The sequence below is a fragment of the Homo sapiens genome, chromosome 5, assembly GCF_000001405.40.
Source record: "Homo sapiens chromosome 5, GRCh38.p14 Primary Assembly".
In the NCBI taxonomy this organism is placed as follows: Eukaryota; Metazoa; Chordata; class Mammalia; order Primates; family Hominidae; genus Homo; species Homo sapiens.
In genome coordinates this window covers 136,142,106-136,162,509 of record NC_000005.10, presented here as the reverse complement: position 1 = coordinate 136,162,509, position 20,404 = coordinate 136,142,106, and the positions used below count along the sequence as shown (strand labels likewise).

Here is a 20,404-nt window from a genome sequence, read left to right as displayed (position 1 = left end):
AATTCCTAATAGCAAGTTAAACAGCTGGCACTTAATTTCTCTTCAAAAGAAAAAACTATACCAATTGATATTTTGCTGCAGTAGAGAAATCACAAAGAATATACTGTAGGTCCTTGAATAATGTTTTGTTCAATGGTGTTTTGTTCAGCATCATTTTGTTATGATGCTGATGAGAAAAAAAATCCATTCCCAGCCAGGGCCACGTCTGTGTGAGTCTGAACATTCTCCCCATGTTTGTTTGAGTTTTCTCTGGTTACCCGAGTTTCCTCTCACATCCCAAAGATGTGCACATCAGATGAACTGGCATGCATGTCTAAACAGTCCCAGTGTGAGTGCCGGGGTGTGTGTGAGTGCACTCTGTGATTTAATCACGTCCCATTCAGGATTGGTTTCCACCTTGTGCCCTGAGTTGCTGGAATGTGCTCTGGCTACCCATGACCATGAATTAGAATAATTAAGTAAATAACAGTCTTGTTTTTATTGATCTTTCTTAAAGATATGCACAGCTCACATTTATTTCAATGTTTAATATTAGAAGAGTCTTGGGTCTTTATTTATAAATTTAGTGATATTTTTGTGACCAGAAATATACCACAAGAACTTAACTCTTGTTTATATCAACTAGCCTATGATAAAACTGGCTTTGTAATATGCTGTTTCAGTTAAAGTCAGTTTCCAAGACGTTATCAATGACATCAAGTGAGGACTTACTGTACTTATATATGACTCTGCCTGACAACAGCAGGTGTTCAAATATTTCTTGACAGTGACATACTGACATGTCCATATATGACATGCCATTAACAAAATTTAGAACTTTACAAAATCTACTTATCTTTCTCCAGTGAAATCAGTTCATCAGTTATCTAACTAAAGATAACCAGGATTCATTTTAACTTCTAAAGTCTTAAATAATTTGAAAAGCCACACAGTAAAGGTGAAAGATCACAGACTTTAGAGTTAGACAAACCTGGGTCTGAACCTCTAGTTCTTAGCCCTACCCTAGGTAAGGTACTTAAAAGTTTAAAATTTACTTTAGAATTTCTTTTTCCATCTGTAAAACAGGAATATCTATCTCACATAGTCATTCTGAAGATTAAATTGAATGCCATAGCTTTCATCACAGTATCAGTTATATAAAAGACAATAAATGGTACTGAGTGTCATAAAATAGAAGAAAATATTTAAGTCAAATAGGGCTACTTCCATTTTTTAAACATACGGTAATTGGCAAAATAAAATCTAAACTCTTCTGGAAATCAAACAATTACCTAAAGAATAAAGAGTCAGAAACAGCTATTATACCTTGGCATGTAACAGTTCACCCAGAGGGCCCACAGTAAGAACAACTGTGATTCTTAGGAATTTTTTTTTTTTTGGTATCAATAAAATAAAGTCTTACCTGGGAGCTGAAATGGACTTCCTGGTCCAGAACTTGCTGGGGAGTTGGGATATGTGCTGCTAGCAGGAGAAGGGGGATAAGGGCTGTTTGGAGATAAGGGAAAAGGAGTGTTGTTGGGCTGGTGGAAAGAATCTGGAAACGTGGCATTTTGTGGCATGTGTGGTTCATTGTGGCTCAGGTTCCTAAACTGAACCAGAAGGCTGTGTTGTGGATTGAATTCATTATGACGAGGCACTAATACTGGAGGTAAGACTGAAAAACAAAAATCAAAAGTCATTTGTCAGGAATGACTAAACAAATGCCCCATCCACACTAAGGGGTTGGTAGAAAGGATTCATGTAAGACTGTAAACCTATTAAAACAATTTACTTTTAGAAAGGGCTGTTTTATAGAGCCCTGAATCTCTATTTACATAAAAACTGAATCCAAAACTCTGTAAGCATTTAGCCTGCATAAGGTACCCTGGAAGACAGAAAATCCAGAGAAAGATACCACTCCTGTTCTATGAGATAAAGGATATTAAAAAACAACCATAAAACAGAGAATTTAACACAATAGGAGTTAAACAGAGGTGAGCGCTCCCAGCTAGCAGAGAATCAAACAAAATACTGTAAGAAAAAAACATACCTGACTGAACCTTAAAGATACAGGAGGATTTCACATGGGAGTACTAGGGCTGGGAAGAGGTAGAAGGGGAGGGTGGCAGAGGAGATGAGAAAATCAGTTGGCCTACGCACTGAACAAGGAGTTAAGACTACAGAGTGAAGTTGGAATCTGTTATGTGAATGCCCTAAAAACTTCCACATTTCCAATTATGAACACTTTGATCTTTCTTAGTTTGAAAGATCTCATGTTTTACGTTGTTCAGTACGGTTTTCCATATTGAATATGGTAATATTCTCTAGGTAAAAGCCTTCCAATCAAAATCAGTCTTCTAAATATGACCATAATGAAAATATACACAACAAAGTCTAAACATTTTTAACAGATACATTTTTAAGAGATAAACTTTATTCAAATATTCGCTTTCTCTAAAGACCCAAGTGACCAATCACATTCAAATATCTGATTACCTTTCCATGCAGGAAACTGAAACAAACCTGATTCTTCAAACATTTACAACTCATCTCATTAACAATTGTCCTGTATCTGTCAATGTAGTTTCACTTAGAAAAATCTCAACTTAATTCTGATATCATTCAGCATCAACAAAATGAGTTTGTTTTTAAGCTACCTAAGTCACACTTCACCTCCCTGAAGTAGGGATGTACACAACAATCCAGTGTTTCTGTTAAGTCAGTATTTGTGCTATTTTTGTCTATTGTTTCATTTCATTCTACTGCATTAGTATACTAAATATGTGGTTAACATCTGACTACAATCGTTTTGTTCTACTGTGTGTTAACAACTGCTATTCCCCTCGCAGAACAAGAGGCAGCTGCCATTGGAGAGAAGGGCATTAGGCAGCAAGAATTTCTACATTTAGCAGGCTAGCAATCTGAGAGACTTAGTGAAATAACTACTCAGGAATTCAGTTCAGTAAGAATTTGCTTTTTTTTTTCTTTAGAGGTATGCTAAAATCACTGGCTTCTCTTTCACTTGTACATTATCTATGCACGATTTTTAAAAAATTATTTTATATCATCCAAAATAATGTTAATATGTGGACAGTTTAAAAAAAGACATGCTATTAGAGATTATAACAAAAACTGCAATTCCTAGCCCCCTCCCATATACTGTTTCTATAGAAAACAAATTTAAACTCTTAGCCATCTCTTATAACATTTACTTTGTGTACTGCTAAATAATATGCTTATATTGCTATTATTAGTCAAGATATTATTTGTAGACTTGCTCTTAGGGCAAATGAGGCAGCATTCTTTTATTATTCTATCCCACTCCCATCCCCAAAATAGAGTTAAATATAACATTTTGCTTAAATCAATATCCAGTATTCATATATACATACATGTAATTCATTGCTGAATCAAGTGTACTATGAGTCTACTTTTTCTTGAACAATGTTTTTACTAAAGTTAACCATTGCCTTGTTTCTTCATTTGTTTAATTTTAAGTACATTCCACTAATATTTCCAGAATTCCAACAGATCTGTTAAACGCCTATCATTACTATTTCTTGGATACAACAAATAATCAAATAATTTATTCACTCTACGTTTTCCCTTGGATCTTCCATCTTTTTTTTTTTGAGATGGAGTCTCGCTCTGTCGCCCAGGCTGGAGTGCACTGGCGCCATCTCGGCTCACTGCAAGCTCCACCTCCCGGGTTCACGCCATTCTCCTGCCTCAGCCTCCCGAGTAGCTGAGACTACAGGCGCTGACCACCACGCCTGGCTAATTTTTTGTATTTTTAGTAGAGACGGGGTTTCACCGTATTAGCCAGGATTGTCTCGATCTCCTGACCTCGTGATCTGCCCACCTCGGCCTCCCAAAGTGCTGGGATTACAGGCGTGAGCCACCGTGCCAGGCCCAGATCTTCCAACTTTTGGTTCCAACCTATATTGGTTACTGCTCAAGTCTCCTACAAGTCTGAAGTCCTTGGACTTCCCTTCTCTACTGCTGGATCACATTTCCTGGACCTCATCCTCTATTAGTGTCCTAAGAGAAAGTAAAAAGTTGAATTTTCTTGACTTCCTGCATGTATAAAAATTTATTTTTTTTGCTTGTCGGCAGGCAGATAACATTTCCTTCTGAATTTTGACAGCACTACTTTACTTTCTTCTAGAATCCAGAACTGCATTGAGAAATCCAGTATTCTGATTTCTAGTCCTTTATATGTTTCCTGTCTTTCTTTTCTGGAAAGTTTTCAGAATCTTTTTTTTAATCTATGATATACAAAAATTTCATGTGGGGCTTTTTTTATCCTTTGTTCTGATTACTTGGTCACTGAGCCCTTTCAATTTTCAGTTTGGGGAAGTGTTTGATATTATTTCTTGGAAAATTTTCTCTCTGCCATCTTCCTCAATGCTCTATTTCCAGAATATATTATTCTATTAGAATTGATATTTAATTTGAAACTGATTCCAGGCCACTTAATGTTTTAACAAGTACTTTTTAAGGCACCAACTCATCTAATGCTCATAACAACCTATTAGGTAGGTAGTATTATTACCATTTTACAATGAGGAAACTAAATCTCAGAAAGGTTAAGGCTTGAGGTAGTATTTGGTAAAACCAGGATTCAAATCCAGAAAGCCTGGCTCCAGAACCCACAGTCTTAATCAATAGACAATACTGTCTATTAGATCAGGGGTCCCTAACCCCCCCAGTTCATGCTCTCTTATGAACCAGGCCATACAGCAGGAGGTGATGGTGAGAGAGAGTGAGCGAAGCTTCATCTGTATTTCCAGCCACTCCCCATTGCTCTCACTACCGCCTGAACTCCGCCTCCTGTCAGATCAGTAGCAGCATGAGATTCTCATAGGAAAGCAAATCCTATCGCCAACTGCACATATGAGGGATCTAGGTTGTGCGCTCCTTATGAGAATCTAATGCCTGATGATCTGTCACTGTCTCCCATCATGCCTGGATGAGACAACCTAGCTGCAGGTAAACAAGCTCAGGGCTCCCACTAATTTGACATTATGGTGAAATGTATAATTATTTCATTACATATTACAATGTAATAATAGAAATAAAGTGCACAATAAATATAATGTGCTTGAATAATCCCAAAACCATCCCCCAACCAATTCTATGGAAAGACTGTCTTCCATGAAACTAGACCCTGGTGCCAAAAAGCTTAGGGTGCACTGTATTCAACTAAACACCTAGGACCACCTAGGTTGGCCCTCTATTTTTCTTATGTTCATTATCTCTTTCTAACTATCCTCCATCTTTTTATCTTTTTGCAAAACTTACTCCACTATATTCTAACTGTGTGAGCATGCCTAAGTTACTTCCCTTTTAAGTCTTTGTTTCCTTATCTATAAACCCATAAGTAAACTGAAAGGGTTGTAAAATGTCAGTACCCTTTTCTAACCCCATGAAGGAATCACTATTCCATCAGTGCTCAATAAATATTAATTGCTATCACTGTTACTACTATCACTACCACCACCTTCTACTACTTTATTAATACTGGTAATATGAAGTGATCCATTCTGCGTCATAGCTGCTTAATCATGGGGGGTCAGCAAGCTAATCTAGCTGGGTAATCTGCCCCTTCCCCCAAGAGTTTGGGCTCAGGGCGAAACATGAGGTCTCTATAGTCTCTTTCCAATAGTTGAACTAGTAAGACATGAAATTTTCCGTTATTTAAAAGTATCAGAGCTATGCCCCAGTCTTTTCTATAGAATGAATCATAGCTGAGAAAAATGTATACAAAAAATAAGACATTTCTATTGGCTGGCTGACTACTAGTCACACTTTGGCTATAGGGGAATACATAAAATTCCTAGACTCCCTCCTAGCAAATAGCAAGCTTGGGAGTTTTTCAGCCTATACTTCTCTATTAAATCCTTTTATCTTCCTTTCTTCATCAGTTCCTTCAGCTATCAGCTTTCCTTGGACTCAGTAAGAAACTGAGAATCATATCATACCAACTGTCTAAAGACACTCTAAAGCTCTTAAGTTGAACTTTCACAGACAGCATAATCACTGCTATCTGCTATCCTTTCTACTAGTCTCCACATCCAATGTTATTTTCAGTCTTTTTACCACACATCTCCACGTGAAACCCAGATAGACTCTAAGGTAACCACTGTGATTCCCACCTCCAGGTATTCAAACCATTGGGTAATTCTCCCTGCTTGAGTATGAGTATGACCTATCACTTCCTTCTAACCAACAGAATATGGCAAAGGTGACAGCGTATGTATGATTACATTCCACAAGAATATAATGTCCTTCTTACCAGAAGACCCTCTCTTCCTTACTGGCTTTGAAGAAGCTGTCATGAATGTGAACTACCTATAAAGAAGGCTATGTGAAAGCAACTAAATCTGTCAACAATCACATGGGCTTGGAAGCAGATCCTTCCCTAATTGAGCTTCTGATAAGACCTTGGCCCTAACCAACACCTTGATTACAGCGCCTTGCAAAGGACCCAGCTAAATGTGACTGGACTCCTCACCCAAAGAAACTGTGAGGTAATAAACATGCATTGTGCTAAGCCACTAAGTTTGTGGCAATCTGTCATGCAGCAATAGATGACTAATGCACTCAGCTAGCAGCTCAGCTTATACCATTCATTATAAAAAAAATTTACTGAGCATCACCTACCAAGTGCCAGACAACAATATACTATTCTAAGCACTAAGGATAGAGTAATGAATGAAATAGAGGAAGACTCTGCTCATGTCAGTCAATAAACAAAATAAATATCTAATATAGAGTCAATTAGTGATGCGGATATTTGAGCAAGGACTGAATGGAATGAGAAAATGTGCCATGGAAAGATCCTGGGGGAGAATAAGTAGACAGCAAGAGTTAAAGCCTGGAAACAGGAGTATGGCAAGTCCAAGGAACAGAGAACTCTGAGGATAGGTCATACAGAGTCTTACAGAAATCTCTTTAAGTGTGACAGCCTTGAAAGTGTTTTCAGTAGGAACTGACATGATTTAGTATGTTTTTAAAAAATCATTCTGGCTGTTGTGTGGAAAACACAATGGGTTAAGGGGAAGAAGAGACGCAGAAAGACCAATTAGGACACTACTTAAGGTGAGTGATGATGATGATGTACTGTACTAAAGTAGTGATGTCACAAATGATGAGAGGTGACATATTTATTAAGACATATTTTGAAGGTGCAGCAAACAGCATTTGCTCATATTTTAAATATAGGATTTAAGTAAGAAGAATAAAAGATGACCTTGCAGTTTAGGGCATTAGCAATTACATGAATGCTGTTGCCATTCACTTCAATAGGGGAAACCAGAGAAAAAAAACTGCGCTTAGACATATTACATTTGGTATGTTTAATAAATAAATATTCAAGTGGAAATGTCAAGTAGGCAACTGGATACACAAATCTAAAACTCAAGGGAGAAGTTGACTTGAGTTCAAAATGTGAGCATCAGCTTATAGACAATCTTAAGACATGTGACAGCATGAAAGCACATAAAGAAATAATATAAATGGAGAAAAGGTCCATGGACTGACTCCTGTGAAAACAGGAGAATACGCCAGCAAAGAGGGGCAAGAACAGTCAGTGAGGTAGGAGAACCAGGATAGCATACTGTCTTAGGGGCCAAACACAGAAAAAGTTTTGAGTAGGATGGAAGGAGATCAACTGTATCAAATGCAGTTGAGCGGACAGTAAGATAAGACTCAAAAATGACCCCTTGACCTATAAAAAGGCAGTCACTAGTGATCTCGACAAGTTAAATGGTAGGAAAGAAAGACTAACTAGAGAAGTCACAAGAAAAAAATGAAACATAAAGATAATAAAAATGGAGAATCCTCTAAAAGGACCAGTGGAAACAGTGCAGTGATTGGGGTTGGGTTATGTGAATGAAGTGAAAAGCAGAATTTTTTTTTAAGTTTTATTTTAGGATGGGTAGTATCATGGCATGCTTGTATGCTATCAGAAATACTCTGGTAGAAAGGGAAAATATAATGCTGGAGAGAAGGATGATAACTGTAGGAACAAAGTTCTTCATTTGACAAAAAGGAATGGGATATAGTACACACTTGGAGCTTAGGCTTTAAATAAAACAGAGACAGGTCATCCACAGGAAAAGGCAGAGTAGATATATGGGTGCTTACAGTGAATAATGAATTAGAGTAAGCCACCTGAGAATTGTATCACCTACATATAAAAAGCTAAACTCAAAATCCAATAGCCCTTCCAAGATTAGAATATTTAAGATGGAAACACAAAGCTAATACAACCTTTTCATTACTAAATCTAGTTACATGCATATCAGGAAGAGAGGTTTTTTGTTTTTGTTTTTCCAAATTCTTCTCAGGAATAAGACCTACCTGGACTCTCCACTCTCTTATAGTGGTATGGGTTGATACAAACTTCTTTTTGCTTAGATCCAAAAGGAAATTCACAAATATCCAACGGCTTTAGCTCATGATGACTCTGCAAATCCGGCCAGCGCCAAACACGACAATATATAACATGGGGTAAGCCTTTTCTGTGAGAAACCTGCAGGCGTCCATCTAAAGATCTGGGAATAGTGACACATTTACTCGGCTGTCCTGGACTGCTCAAGGCTTTCTCCAGTTCCTCCATGGCACCCTTTTTCTTTTTTAGTTTCTTCACCAAAGCATCAACTGCCTTTTCTGCCCATTTCTCCTCCTCATCACCTTGTTTCCAGCCCAACAATCGCTTTACTGCTGGACTAGTAAAAGAAAACAAGCTGGCCATTGACGTCATTTGACACAAATCTTCGGAGACCTTCCTGTAACTCAAAGTCAGTGGCTACCGAAAGAACAGATCACAGGTGAAACGTCATACACAGGTCCTAAGCAGAAGTTCCAATTAAAAAGGGAGGAGTAACATTTATCTTCACAAGTGCCATATGCTTCTTTCATTGGGTCAAGTCCTGAAAGAGAAAGGGGGAAAGGATCCTAGTTTAAATCAATTCAATATATACAAATTTAAATTAATATAATCGAAAGGCATATTTTATTAAATAAGAACAGAAAAGCATTACAAAGTAAACAAAAAATTGATAAATTTTCTCCAAAAGTTCTGTGACCACTCGATTCCTTCCCCATAATATGAACAAGTAAGACACTGGCAATGTCAAATGATAACCAGAGGCAAAACCAGGTTGCTCTACCTCCTATGTATTATCCAAAAATAGCTTCTGGACTCCCTTTGATTAGGCCACTAAACCCTAAAACACTCTTCTAAAATTTGATTCTGAAGTACTTTTCTTCACTGAAATCCATGTTACATGCTATGTCAATTTTGAACGTGATTGTGTCCTGATCTGAATAGAAGTCTTAAAAGAAATCCAGCTCTTCTCTAAGGTCATTATTCTCTTTAAATGTTTCCCAGACTGAGAAGGTTTGGACAAAAATCATGATACTACTGAAGTCACATTATTAGATGCAAATTGTATTCACGGTTGTATAAGATGTACCAAACCCTCAAATAAATCATTATAACTGCCAGTAAAATGGCAAGTATCTATTTGTAAAACTAAGTATGTTGAATAAATTTAAAGAGAATAAATTCATTTTAAAAGGGTCAGTTTCTAATTTTATAATTCCTATCGGCTTATTTTAAGTGATATTTTATATTGGTTAATGAGCTTGCTCCAGGTAAACCACTGTTCTGCACCATTAAGAAGCTCCTGATGATGACAGGTGGAAGTGACAGGCACTCCACCGATAGAAGCTGGTAAAAACCAGGCTCAGTGGCACACACCTGTAATCCCAGTTATTCGGGAGACTCACTTGAGCCCAGGAGTTCAATCACGTCCAGTCTGAGCAACATAGTGAGATCCCATTTCTAAATAAAGAATAAAAAGAATGTGTAAGATCTCCTGCAGATCGCTGCACAGCCAACCACAGACGATAAATACCTACTAAAGTAACAAGAATAACGTTTGGAAAAATGGTGTAACAAAAGATGCTTCCTTTCTTGTGCCTACAATTGCCAAAAGCTATAGCTTTGTCTTTGAAAAATTCTAGCATCAATATTATTCTGGACTGGGGTGCATCTTTCCAGAAAAGAATGTATGTGCTCAGCTAAAGCCCAGACAATAACATAAAGTAAATAAAGATAATGTAAACACAGAGTAAAGTAAAACTGACATACACTCAACAAATAATTATTGATTCTTTGTTACATCCCATGTATTGTGAATAGCCATGATGGGGCTTTTTAAAAAAAGTTATGCCAAGTAGGGTTTAATCTCAACAGTCAATAAACTGATTCATTCAAAATACACTTACTGAGAGCCTACTAAAGTACCAGATACAGTTCTGGATGCCGATCAACTACTGGCAGCTATCCAGCCTTCTATGCTGGAACCATGGTGGGGAAGGGTACAGGGAAGTAAAGATATCCTCCTTATGTATGGATATGCCTTGTGCCTTGTCTTGCCCAGCCCTATGTAGGATGATTTTTCCTAGGCAAACAAAACTGGCCACATTAAAATAGAGAGATATAACAAAGAGAATGAAAGCATAATTGTCACTAACAGGTCACAGAGTATAAAGTGTTATGTACTAAATGAACTGTAAGAAGGGCTGACCTCAGTTGCATCTACATCAAGGATGTATGATAAAATCCATGTGGGTCAGGAAGTAAAACCATGGTTTGGTTGTCTGAGATGAGATGGGAAATGTCAAAGGCAAAGGCACACAAACAAAAAAATATATATATAGGCAGACATGAACATAGCATTTCCTAGGCTAGATAAGAGACAGGCCTGGCTGACTGATTCATGAACACTAGAATATAATGGGGGGCTAGATAGGGTAGTGTACGTATGTGTGAGAGAGTATGTGTATGAGCAACAGAGAGACAGTTAAGGAAGAGGGAGGCAAAAAGACAGGAGCTTCAAGACCAGAATTCTGAATACAATATCATACATGATCAGGCCCTTGGCTTCTCCTTACTCATTTCTTAACCATTATCCTACCTAATTGCATTTAACCACACTTAACTTCTTTCCATTTCTCAAGTATTCTAAGGTTATTTCTATGTGAGGTCTTTGCATCTGATGTTCTCTCCCCTAAATTCTCTTCTCCCGTAACTTAACGCAGCATACTCACTCAAATTAATTCAGTTGTTCAAAGGTCACCTCCTGAAAGAGGAATTCCCTGACCACTTGATTGAAAATAGCATGACAGCCCATTCTCACAACATTCTCTATCCCCTGACCCTGTTCATTTTTTATAGCATTTACCCTAATCTGATATTACATTATCAACTTTGTTTATTTACTTTGTTTTCCCCAATGCAATGTTAGTATGCAGGTAGTCTCGTCTGCCCTCAAAACCACTGGATGCCCTGGACCTAGAATAGTGTCCATTTATCAAATAAATGAGTAAGAAAAACAATTTGTAAAAATATATATACCTTTCTAAGGATGTCTATATCAAACTTAAAACAAAAAAATTGTTATTTATAGATATCTATGATATCAGAGAATAAAAATATGCCTGGAAATGAAACACACCAGACTCAGTCTCCCAAGTTGATGGCATTATAGGCTTGAGCCACTGTGCCCACCAGATTCTGTTCTTTACTAGTATCACTTTTTCAAAGCCTATTAACTTTTCTGTAAAATAGAGATGATGGTTCCTAAGTCACAGAAATATTAAAGTACTAATGTCTATCTAACACAAGCTTTACAAACTCAACAGTACTATTCAAACATGAATTCTAATCATTAGCATTCAGAAAGAAGACGAACCAAGACTTAAGAGACTGGCTAGATCTAGTCCTAATCTAATCTTGCCCATTACTCTTCCACTATACACACCTTCTGATCCAATCCAAATCCCTGCCCCTCTGCCCATCTGTGTCTTCCAAGAGAAATCTTAGTCATTCTTAATGATGAGCTCCAATCTATCCCCTTTTGTGAAGACTTCCTTTACCACCCAATGCTGAAGAGGCTATGGTCACTGAATATTTATAATAAAAACTAATTAATAAGTCATAAATAATATCATAACTTCCCAAATACAGTACAAAATCCTTCTAAGAAGTAGTCTTCAGCACCTGGACCATTGCATGTGCCATACCACACACTATGATACTTAATGAATGGTCACTGATTTTTCTACTAACTGTACCTTGAAATTAAGAGATAATTTCAAATTTTAAACCCACGTTGACTAAGATAATGATAAAATGAGAATTCTACCCACAGAATTAAAAACATTCAGAAGGCAGCTTTGTCAGTAGAAATGGTGGTAAACTCCACTGGGAAAAGGTCATGACTGGAGATACAGGTTTAGCCAGGTAAAGATGAGAAACAGATTTAAGATTTTGCACAAAGAGCTAAAAAAAAAAAGTTTGCAACAGAGTGAAAAGAACAGTAAGTAAACACCTAAATATTACGAAACATTCACTGTTAGGAAAGAGTTTCCTGATAGTGAGTTACTGATAATGCACTATTAAAAAGACAGAACTAGATACAATGGTACTGCAGAAGATTAAACATATGGGAGAGTTTAAAGAGAATGTAAACAAAGAAAAGGCCAGTGACTTTGGTGAATGGGTATGCCACTAAACTTCAAGAGATTGGTTTCAAAAAGAACAATAGGTGTCAGTTTTAAAAACCTAGAACTCTTACTAGTAAAACTAGCACAGGGAGAGGAGCAAATCTCACACTCAACTCTTTAAATATGGAATGACTAAAAAACTTAGCACTTTTGATGAAATTATTTCTAAAAATGTTTTCTATACTTCCCAAACTGGTAAAGTGGTATGTGCAAGCTACCCGAGTACTTGTTATCCACGTCTCAACTTACATTACAAAAGGAGAAAAATTCATCATAAAAATTAGTGAATAGTCAAAAGATCTGAACAGATCCTTCACAAAAGAGGACATTAAAATAGCCACTGGATGAGAAAATGGGCTCAATATCATTAGTTATCACATGAATGCAAAAAGAAAACAAAAACTACCACAGTAAAATCTCACTCGGTACCTACCAGAATGGCTACACTTAAAAAAAAAAAAAAGATTAACTGTTCATGATAATACAGAACTGGAACTCTCATATATTGATAGTAGGAATATACATTAGTCCAGTCACTTTTGAAAATTGTTTAACAGTATCCACTAACGCTAAACATAGATCCCTATGACCCAGAAATTCCATTCCTAGGTATATATCCAACAGAAATGAGTGCTGTGTCCACCAAAAAACAAGTACATGTTCCTAACAACTTTATTTATAATAGTCCCAAACTGGAACCCAAATATTCATCAGCAGTAGAGTGGGTAAATACTGGTAATAAATTCATAAAATGGAATACTTCACAGCTACAGAAAGAACTAGTATGTGTAAAACATGGAGAATTCTCATATATTCTGAGGGAAAGATTACACATTATTCCATCTACACAACATTCAAAAACAGGCAAAACTAACCTATGCCATCAAGGCCAGAAGAGCACTAAGAAGGGTCATGAGACAGCCTTCTAGGGAGCTAGAAATTTTCCATATTTTGATCTGGGTGATGATGACATGGATGTATACCATATGCAGAAGTTCATTAAGCTACACACTTTAATTCTGTGTGCTTTACTAGATGATTATTTCAATTTTTAAAAATATCTTTAAAACATACTTGTGACTGATCACTTATAAAATCAGTCCCTATTCACAAGTGTCTCCCTCACCATAATGGCTTATGAACCATGAGTGAGACTACAGATTTTGCAAAAATTCCAAGATTTCCAAAGTTTATAAAAATGATGGCAAACAATGTAGGATCTAGGATTTGATTTTACCCCACTTACAAGTTAGTCTGTTACTGTCTTCTGGATGGTGCCAAAGGACATAAGACTCCTGGGTTAGAGACTCTGCTACTCTGGGCACAGCAAGCAGCATAAGCATTGACATTATTTGAGGTTTTGTTTGTCCCCAAGACCCATGGGGATAATGTGATGTATTTTATAGTTTTGCCTTTTTGTGAATGTTGTATAGAAGGAATAACACGTAATCTTTCCTTCAGTATTATAAGATTCTCCATGTTTTATATGTATGAGTTTGTGCTTTTTTGTAGTCTTGATGCATGGATGAGGAATACTGAGCTCAGGGAATCTACCACTTTTACAGTAATCAGTAAGCAAGACATTCTTTGTTCGGGAGGAGGGTAAGAGTAACTTGACTATCAAAGAATTTAACAGAGGTCCTTGAAAAAATGTATATATATTTTTATCAATATTTTTGCAAAAAAAAGAACAACTTAAAGCTAATGCCACAAATGTCAAATTGAAGGCTGTCATATAATGATACTGAATTATTTTGTGGGAAAAATTGTTTATCCATTCACACTTGATCCATTATTTGTTCATTATAACAATTCATGCATGTTTACAGTTACTATAAGCTAATGTTTTCCCAGAATTTTAGTTTCATTCTTCAAGATAAAATCAGACCTTTTACTCACCATTTAGTATAAAATGGTGGTCTACATTTTTCAGTGGTTTCATTTTAAATGAAATTCTCTATAGAAGGCATAGAACATGGGCTGCATTATTACTGACTAAAGAAACAGAGTGGCATGAATGATCTTAAAAGGTTACTTACAGAGGCAGATTTCTGGACATTTTAATTTCTTAGAATATAGCAACAGGTACTTCAATAACTTCAACAGCTTCCTTTCTAAAAAAAAAATCAATTGCTTAAGCAAAGGAATCATAATACTCCTTTGATAATGGTAATAATAATAAACCACTAACATTTATTGAGCACTCACTATGCCAAGTACTGTTAAGGACTTTACATTTAGAAACCAAAAATCATTAAATTTCAAAACAGCCTTATAAAGCAAATTCCATTATTCTCATTTTACAGATGAGAAAACAGGCAAAGGGAAATTAAATGTAACTTGCTTAATTATACAGAAAGCAAGAAACAGAGCTGAGAATTGAACCCTGGCAGTCCAGCTGCAGAATCCATATTCCAAACCACTGTACAGACTGCCTCCTAGAAAGAAACCCTCCTGCCAAGGAATTTTCTTCCCTTACAGGTCTGTAATTGTTCTTCATATTCCTGACTTCTCCAAAACATTCAAATTGTTAAATATTATCATAAGATTGTATAGTTTAAGAGATCAAGAATAATCCAGCTTAATTTGCTCATTTTCAAACTTATTTTTATACCACTTAACGTATGTCATCAACCTATCAACTTTAACCCAACCTTCTCACATTTGTGCTAGGTCAATCAGCAGGAATGAAAGGTTTAGCTTTATGCTTACTACCACTGCATAAAAATATATTTTTTTTGTGGTGATCTTACTCCAAAGCTTTTCTAATTATCATTAGGACATTTTTAGCACACTTATTACTGGAACACAATGATCTCAGAAATGATGAGACAATGTACCACTTTTTAAAAAATATTTTTCCTTAAAAAATATTTTTCCTAAGTATACTCACCTATAATCATACCATTAACATATGGTATGCTTATATTTGTTTCCTCTGCATATATATAGTCTTGCCCACAACTGCCCGTAACAGGATATAACATGATATTACTTGGTATTCTGCATTTTCTATTTAACACCACAAGCATTTGCTCTTCCCTCACCCGAATATATAGATTTTTTTAAATGCCTTTAATGGTGCAATCATATTTTACTCATCTATTCTCTTAATATTTAACAGCTAGGTTTCTAAAGGAACTAAACCACCTATAGTAAAAGTAAAATTGTTAAACTGAGATTAAAACTTCTTTATGGTACCCATATAATGGATGCATTTTGTCCTAGTCTTTTCTGCAGACTATACTATATTCAAAATAACACCTTGGTCCAAAATTTGAAATAAAATGATCAGAGAGCTTGGGTTACAGCAATAGATTTACTTTAGTATCCTCACATAAGTACTCGGTTATGAAAAAATTTCTCATTATGTATACAAAAAATAAAATACGTTCTGATTTGCATGAGCCACAAGTGAACCTGCAATACCTCTGAACATTTTGAGTCTCTTTCCTGAAAAGTTGATTCAATTTTTCATGCCCCCTTTGCCTTTCACTAAATAAAACGAATTTAGAAACACTGAGAACACCTATCTTCAATTTAAATCAGCTGTGTATCTAACACCCCATAATACTCTTCTACATCACCTCTACACTTATTCCAGTAATAGAGAAAATCCCAAAAGACTGTACTTAGCAACTGCAACAGTCTTTACACATTACAGATTACTGGACAGCTAAATTTTGGTCCTCTATACTCCTTTTCTAAATGCTTTCAGAGTCTACTGAGACACAAATATACATAATAACCAGTGCTAAACTTAAGCTCACACTTATAGCCTTATTTATACAACACATATTTACTGAGTGCCTATAAAAGGCAAGGCACTAAGCTAGATAATAAAGAGTTGAAATATAAATCAGATCCAGACTAACTCTAAATAGTCACAAATTAATAGAACAACTGAAATGTGCCCATAACTATCTACGATACACAGTGGAGAATGGAGTTGCCCTAAAGATATAAAGGTCGCTAAAAGAAGTCAGGATATGACCCTTTGGGGAGAAGGATGAAGGGAGACAATTTTATCTTAAGCATAAAAGCTTCTATGTCTTTCACAAAGTAATACTTTATATAACAGGATGAGGAACTACAGCACCGGATTTGAAGCCTAATAAACTTGGGTTCAAATTCTGGATCTAACACTTACACCCAAAATCTCCATTTTTTCCTATTTTGTATCGTGAATACTATGGCCCTAAAAGGTTCTGAGAATTAAGTGAGAAACACTTAGTACACAGTGCATACTCAATAAAGGGCAACTGTAGTTATTATTGTTGTAATAATCATGAACATTGTTGCTATCAGGCTGAGGATTTTAAATAAATGGTTGGGATCCTTTATTTCAATAAGCATACAGTCATGTACTTTAAGAGTCCGCATTATTTTATGAACCCTGAAGGAAGAAAAAGCTGCAAAGTAAATGGCATAATGCTTTCTTATAACTTAAAATTTTTATTCACAGTATCATCCTTCTGCCATCAAGAATGTAAGTATGAAGAATGTTCCGACACTGCTCCAGGACTGTCTTTCAAGCCACTGACAACCATCCTGCAAATTTTGATACTGGTGCCTGTTTGGTGTCCCTAGAGGATCTAAATGAAGATGTGAAAACAACAACTAAGAAAATATTTTAAATGGCAATTACTCAACACGAGAAGTTAAAACAATGTCCACACTGAGACTGAAATGACAGCAACAGAAACAGCAAGTCAGAGCCATGCCTGTACAATGACAACTAGATCAAAACTGCCACCTGGCCAAAAGCAATACTCAGATGCTATTAACTGTAAGACAGTTAATGTTATGTTATGAGGTGAAAAAAAAAATTACATCTTAGAAGAAATACGGCAGCTTTTTCTTTTGTCCTCTCTCAAAGTCCTTTCTGATGCTCCCCATCACTTGCCCCCAGTATCTGTCATTCTAACCCCTCCTTTGTTCTCATTCTTTTAACTCTTTTTTTTTTCTTTTCTCTTTCTGCATTTCTCATAGCTTCTCCTATATTCCTCAGTGTTGCTTTTGGAGAAACTTGATAAACTACCTAATGAAAATGAACTTTCCTTCTGTCTCAAAAAGAACCCAATTAGCATGGAATACATGATTTGTATCCTTGGTACTTTCAGGTGCTCCAGGGCTTGCTTACTTCTGAGTTCTCTAGTAAGTCAAGGGAAGATGCATTTGACAGTCCACATAGGTGAAATAATGCCCTAGACAATCTGGCTTCTGAGCAGATTCTATTTGCACCTCTGTAATCCTCATCCTGAGCCACCTAACATACCTATCCTAAAGTACACCAGTGGGAATAATATATATTAATATATACCAATATAATAAGATATATTTATATATATCTAAACATATTAAGAGGTAATATATTTAGTTCCTAAGAAAACCAAAAAGTCAATAGGCTTCAAGGAACTTAAATCGTCAAGCTATTTTCTTTTGCAATAAACCTCCATAGAAACCTATTGTAAAACAGTTGTTTATAAATGTTAATCTTATTTCAATAACATAATCAGGGATAGAAGACAAATTCTGCCTTCTCTTTTTTGCTCTTACTAGGGCCGTATTAAACCAAACTTTCAGAAGGCTAAGTGTCAAACAGCCTTTTCTTTAAAAGCCAAGTCTTGTTACAGTAATTCAGAACAGGCTAACCATGAGCATCATAAAAGAAAAACACAAACTACACTGAACAGTGTCCATGAAACCTTTCAGGGAATTTCTACTTCTAGCTTGAAAACCAGAGAATCCCCCAAAATCTAAATCTAAAATCTCATTAGGAAACCCACGGGACAATTCGTGTTAGGTGAGACAGTCAATTTTCATCAAAACTGCCGTATGAATGAATGGAATTAAATCTGAGTGATCAAACACTTTCAGACTCAGATAATGAACCCATTATCTGCTATTATCTTGGCCTTTCATAGTATACCTCTGGTTTATGAGGTATTTAGAGTACATACATGGAACAGAAAGAACAGTATAACTGGAAAGTGGAAGAAGAAAAAAGTGAAAAGATTATATACTGGTGAATATGACTGATTAAGAAGGAATTAACTGTGTTGCAAATGGCCAGTAACAGACAAGAAGTTGGTTGAGGGGGTTTAGCAACTGTGCAAAAAAAACAGCTGGTTTGGACAGATTCTACCCCTCCCCTGCAAACTCAAACACACTGCACCTAAGTGAATAGGAGCTTAAGGATGAGGCAAGAATAACTGCTTGTCATATAAGCACAAATTTTGAGAGTGACTACCAAAATACTGAATACGAGATAGAAATATAACAATCTATCATTCACAGTCCACTTGGCAAGAAAGTACAAGGACGAGGAAAACCAAATCACTCAGCCAAATGAGGAAGGGAGGCTAGGAGGTGACAATCAGCTAGTCTGACTGTGAAGCAAAAGGGAAAGGCACAACCACAGAATGAAGGTCAAACAGGGAAAGACTGTGAATACAAGGCTAAGGAGTCAGACTGCTAGAAGTAGTTCTATGTGCCGTGTAGAGTTCTATCTAAGCCGAAAGACATGTTCGAAGAGGTATTTCAAGAAGACAAAAATTCCAACAACAAAGGACCAAGTAAGAGACTAACTAGGGGGACAAAGCGTAGATGAAAACCATGGTAGTAACCTAACTGAGAGGAACACACACACACCGTGATTAAATAAAAAAAAAAAAAAGAGATACGAGGGATGTCACAAATAAACAGAAGCCTAACTAGAAAAGTTAAGGTTTAAACCCTGAATAATGAAAACATCACTTACCAAAGGGTAACTCTAGTTATGGCCAAAACAAGGCAAGAAGGTGACAGTGGAGGGACATAAGGAAACAAATACTGGCATGCATCCAGGAAGATATAAAATTAAAGCTCAAGGAGAAAAGGAATAAATATGTAGATATTGAGGATCATATGAATTGGAGAGATGAATTGTGATATTAGACAGAGGAGACATTTGATTTATTCAAAATTTACCGGGTGCCCACTAGTGTATGTCAGGAATACTCCATGCTAGGAACTCAGGCTTAAAAGACACTAACCATAATCTCTGTAAGATCTTAGAGAGTAATGGAAAAAAGAACAGGGGCTATAAAGAGTTTCATATGCCATTTAGCCTATCACTTAGTTTTATCCTATATTTATTTCCATATGATAGCCAACAGAAATAGGGCATTAAAATTGAGTTTAAAAAAATGTACACCAAGCACAGAGAGCCAATAATTGAACAGACAGGAAGGTATGCTCCTTCTTACACTAGAAACTGGAGGGACTTAACAGCTATGAACCCATTATCTGCTATTATCTTGGCCTTTCATAGTATACCTTTGGTTTATGAAGACTTGACTTGATAATACCCTTTTATTGATGTATTTTGTCATTTCTTAGAGAAATGACCTCAAAGCTAGAAAGAAAACCAAGGTAATCATAATATTTAGAAATTCCTGTGTACGTGAGGTTCCCTGATTCTTCTGAAAAACTGCAACCACTGACTGAACACAGAACGTCATTAGTGTACCAAAAGAGATGCAGTGGTACCTCAGCCATAAATGAAAACCTTATAAAATTACGGTATATCATGAATTACAAATGAATCTATCACATTACAAAACACACACACACCTCACCTCTCTTTCAGCTCAAGCATCCCTTCTTCGGGGAAGTCTTCCCAAACCGTCCTGGCTAGAAGTCCCCCTCTTATATGCTTACCGCATCACATACTCCTACTTTGTAGCACTTACCACACCTATGTTTTTACATTTACCTTTCAAATCTGTCCCCACAAGAATGTAAATTCCACGAGAAGAGCTGTATCTGTTTTCACTCATCACTGTAAGCCTAGTGA

At 36.3% G+C, this 20,404-nt stretch overlaps 1 protein-coding gene across 6 annotated transcripts in view, besides 1 other annotated feature; it reads right to left on the bottom strand.

Annotated features, from left to right (window-relative positions):
* The window catches only part of SMAD5 (SMAD family member 5), a 49,889-nt gene that overhangs the window by 20,224 nt on the left and 9,261 nt on the right, over positions 1 to 20,404 (bottom strand). For 3 of the 6 annotated variants that reach the window (XM_024446047.2, XM_024446046.2, NM_005903.7), the window contains exons 2-4: positions 14,604 to 14,678; positions 8,347 to 8,918; positions 1,403 to 1,654 (exon numbers count right to left, since the gene is read on the bottom strand). In XM_024446047.2, the coding sequence (XP_024301815.1) occupies positions 1,403 to 1,654; positions 8,347 to 8,749 (655 nt within the window). In that variant the 5' untranslated portion in view covers positions 8,750 to 8,918; positions 14,604 to 14,678. Of the gene's footprint in view, positions 1 to 1,402; positions 1,655 to 8,346; positions 8,919 to 9,751; positions 9,836 to 14,603; positions 14,679 to 20,404 lie in introns of all 6 variants that reach the window. The other 3 variants (NM_001001419.3, XM_017009470.3, NM_001001420.3) reach the window with 2 other exon arrangements.
* Positions 8,105 to 9,304: an enhancer, noted in NCBI's record as "MED14-independent group 3 enhancer chr5:135488895-135490094 (GRCh37/hg19 assembly coordinates)". NCBI's record gives its function as "activates an origin of replication core promoter dependent on BRD2, BRD4, P300/CBP and CDK7 cofactors, and independent of MED14, by STARR-seq in HCT116 cells {active_cell/tissue: HCT116}" and the evidence as "EXISTENCE:reporter gene assay evidence [ECO:0000049][PMID:35650434]".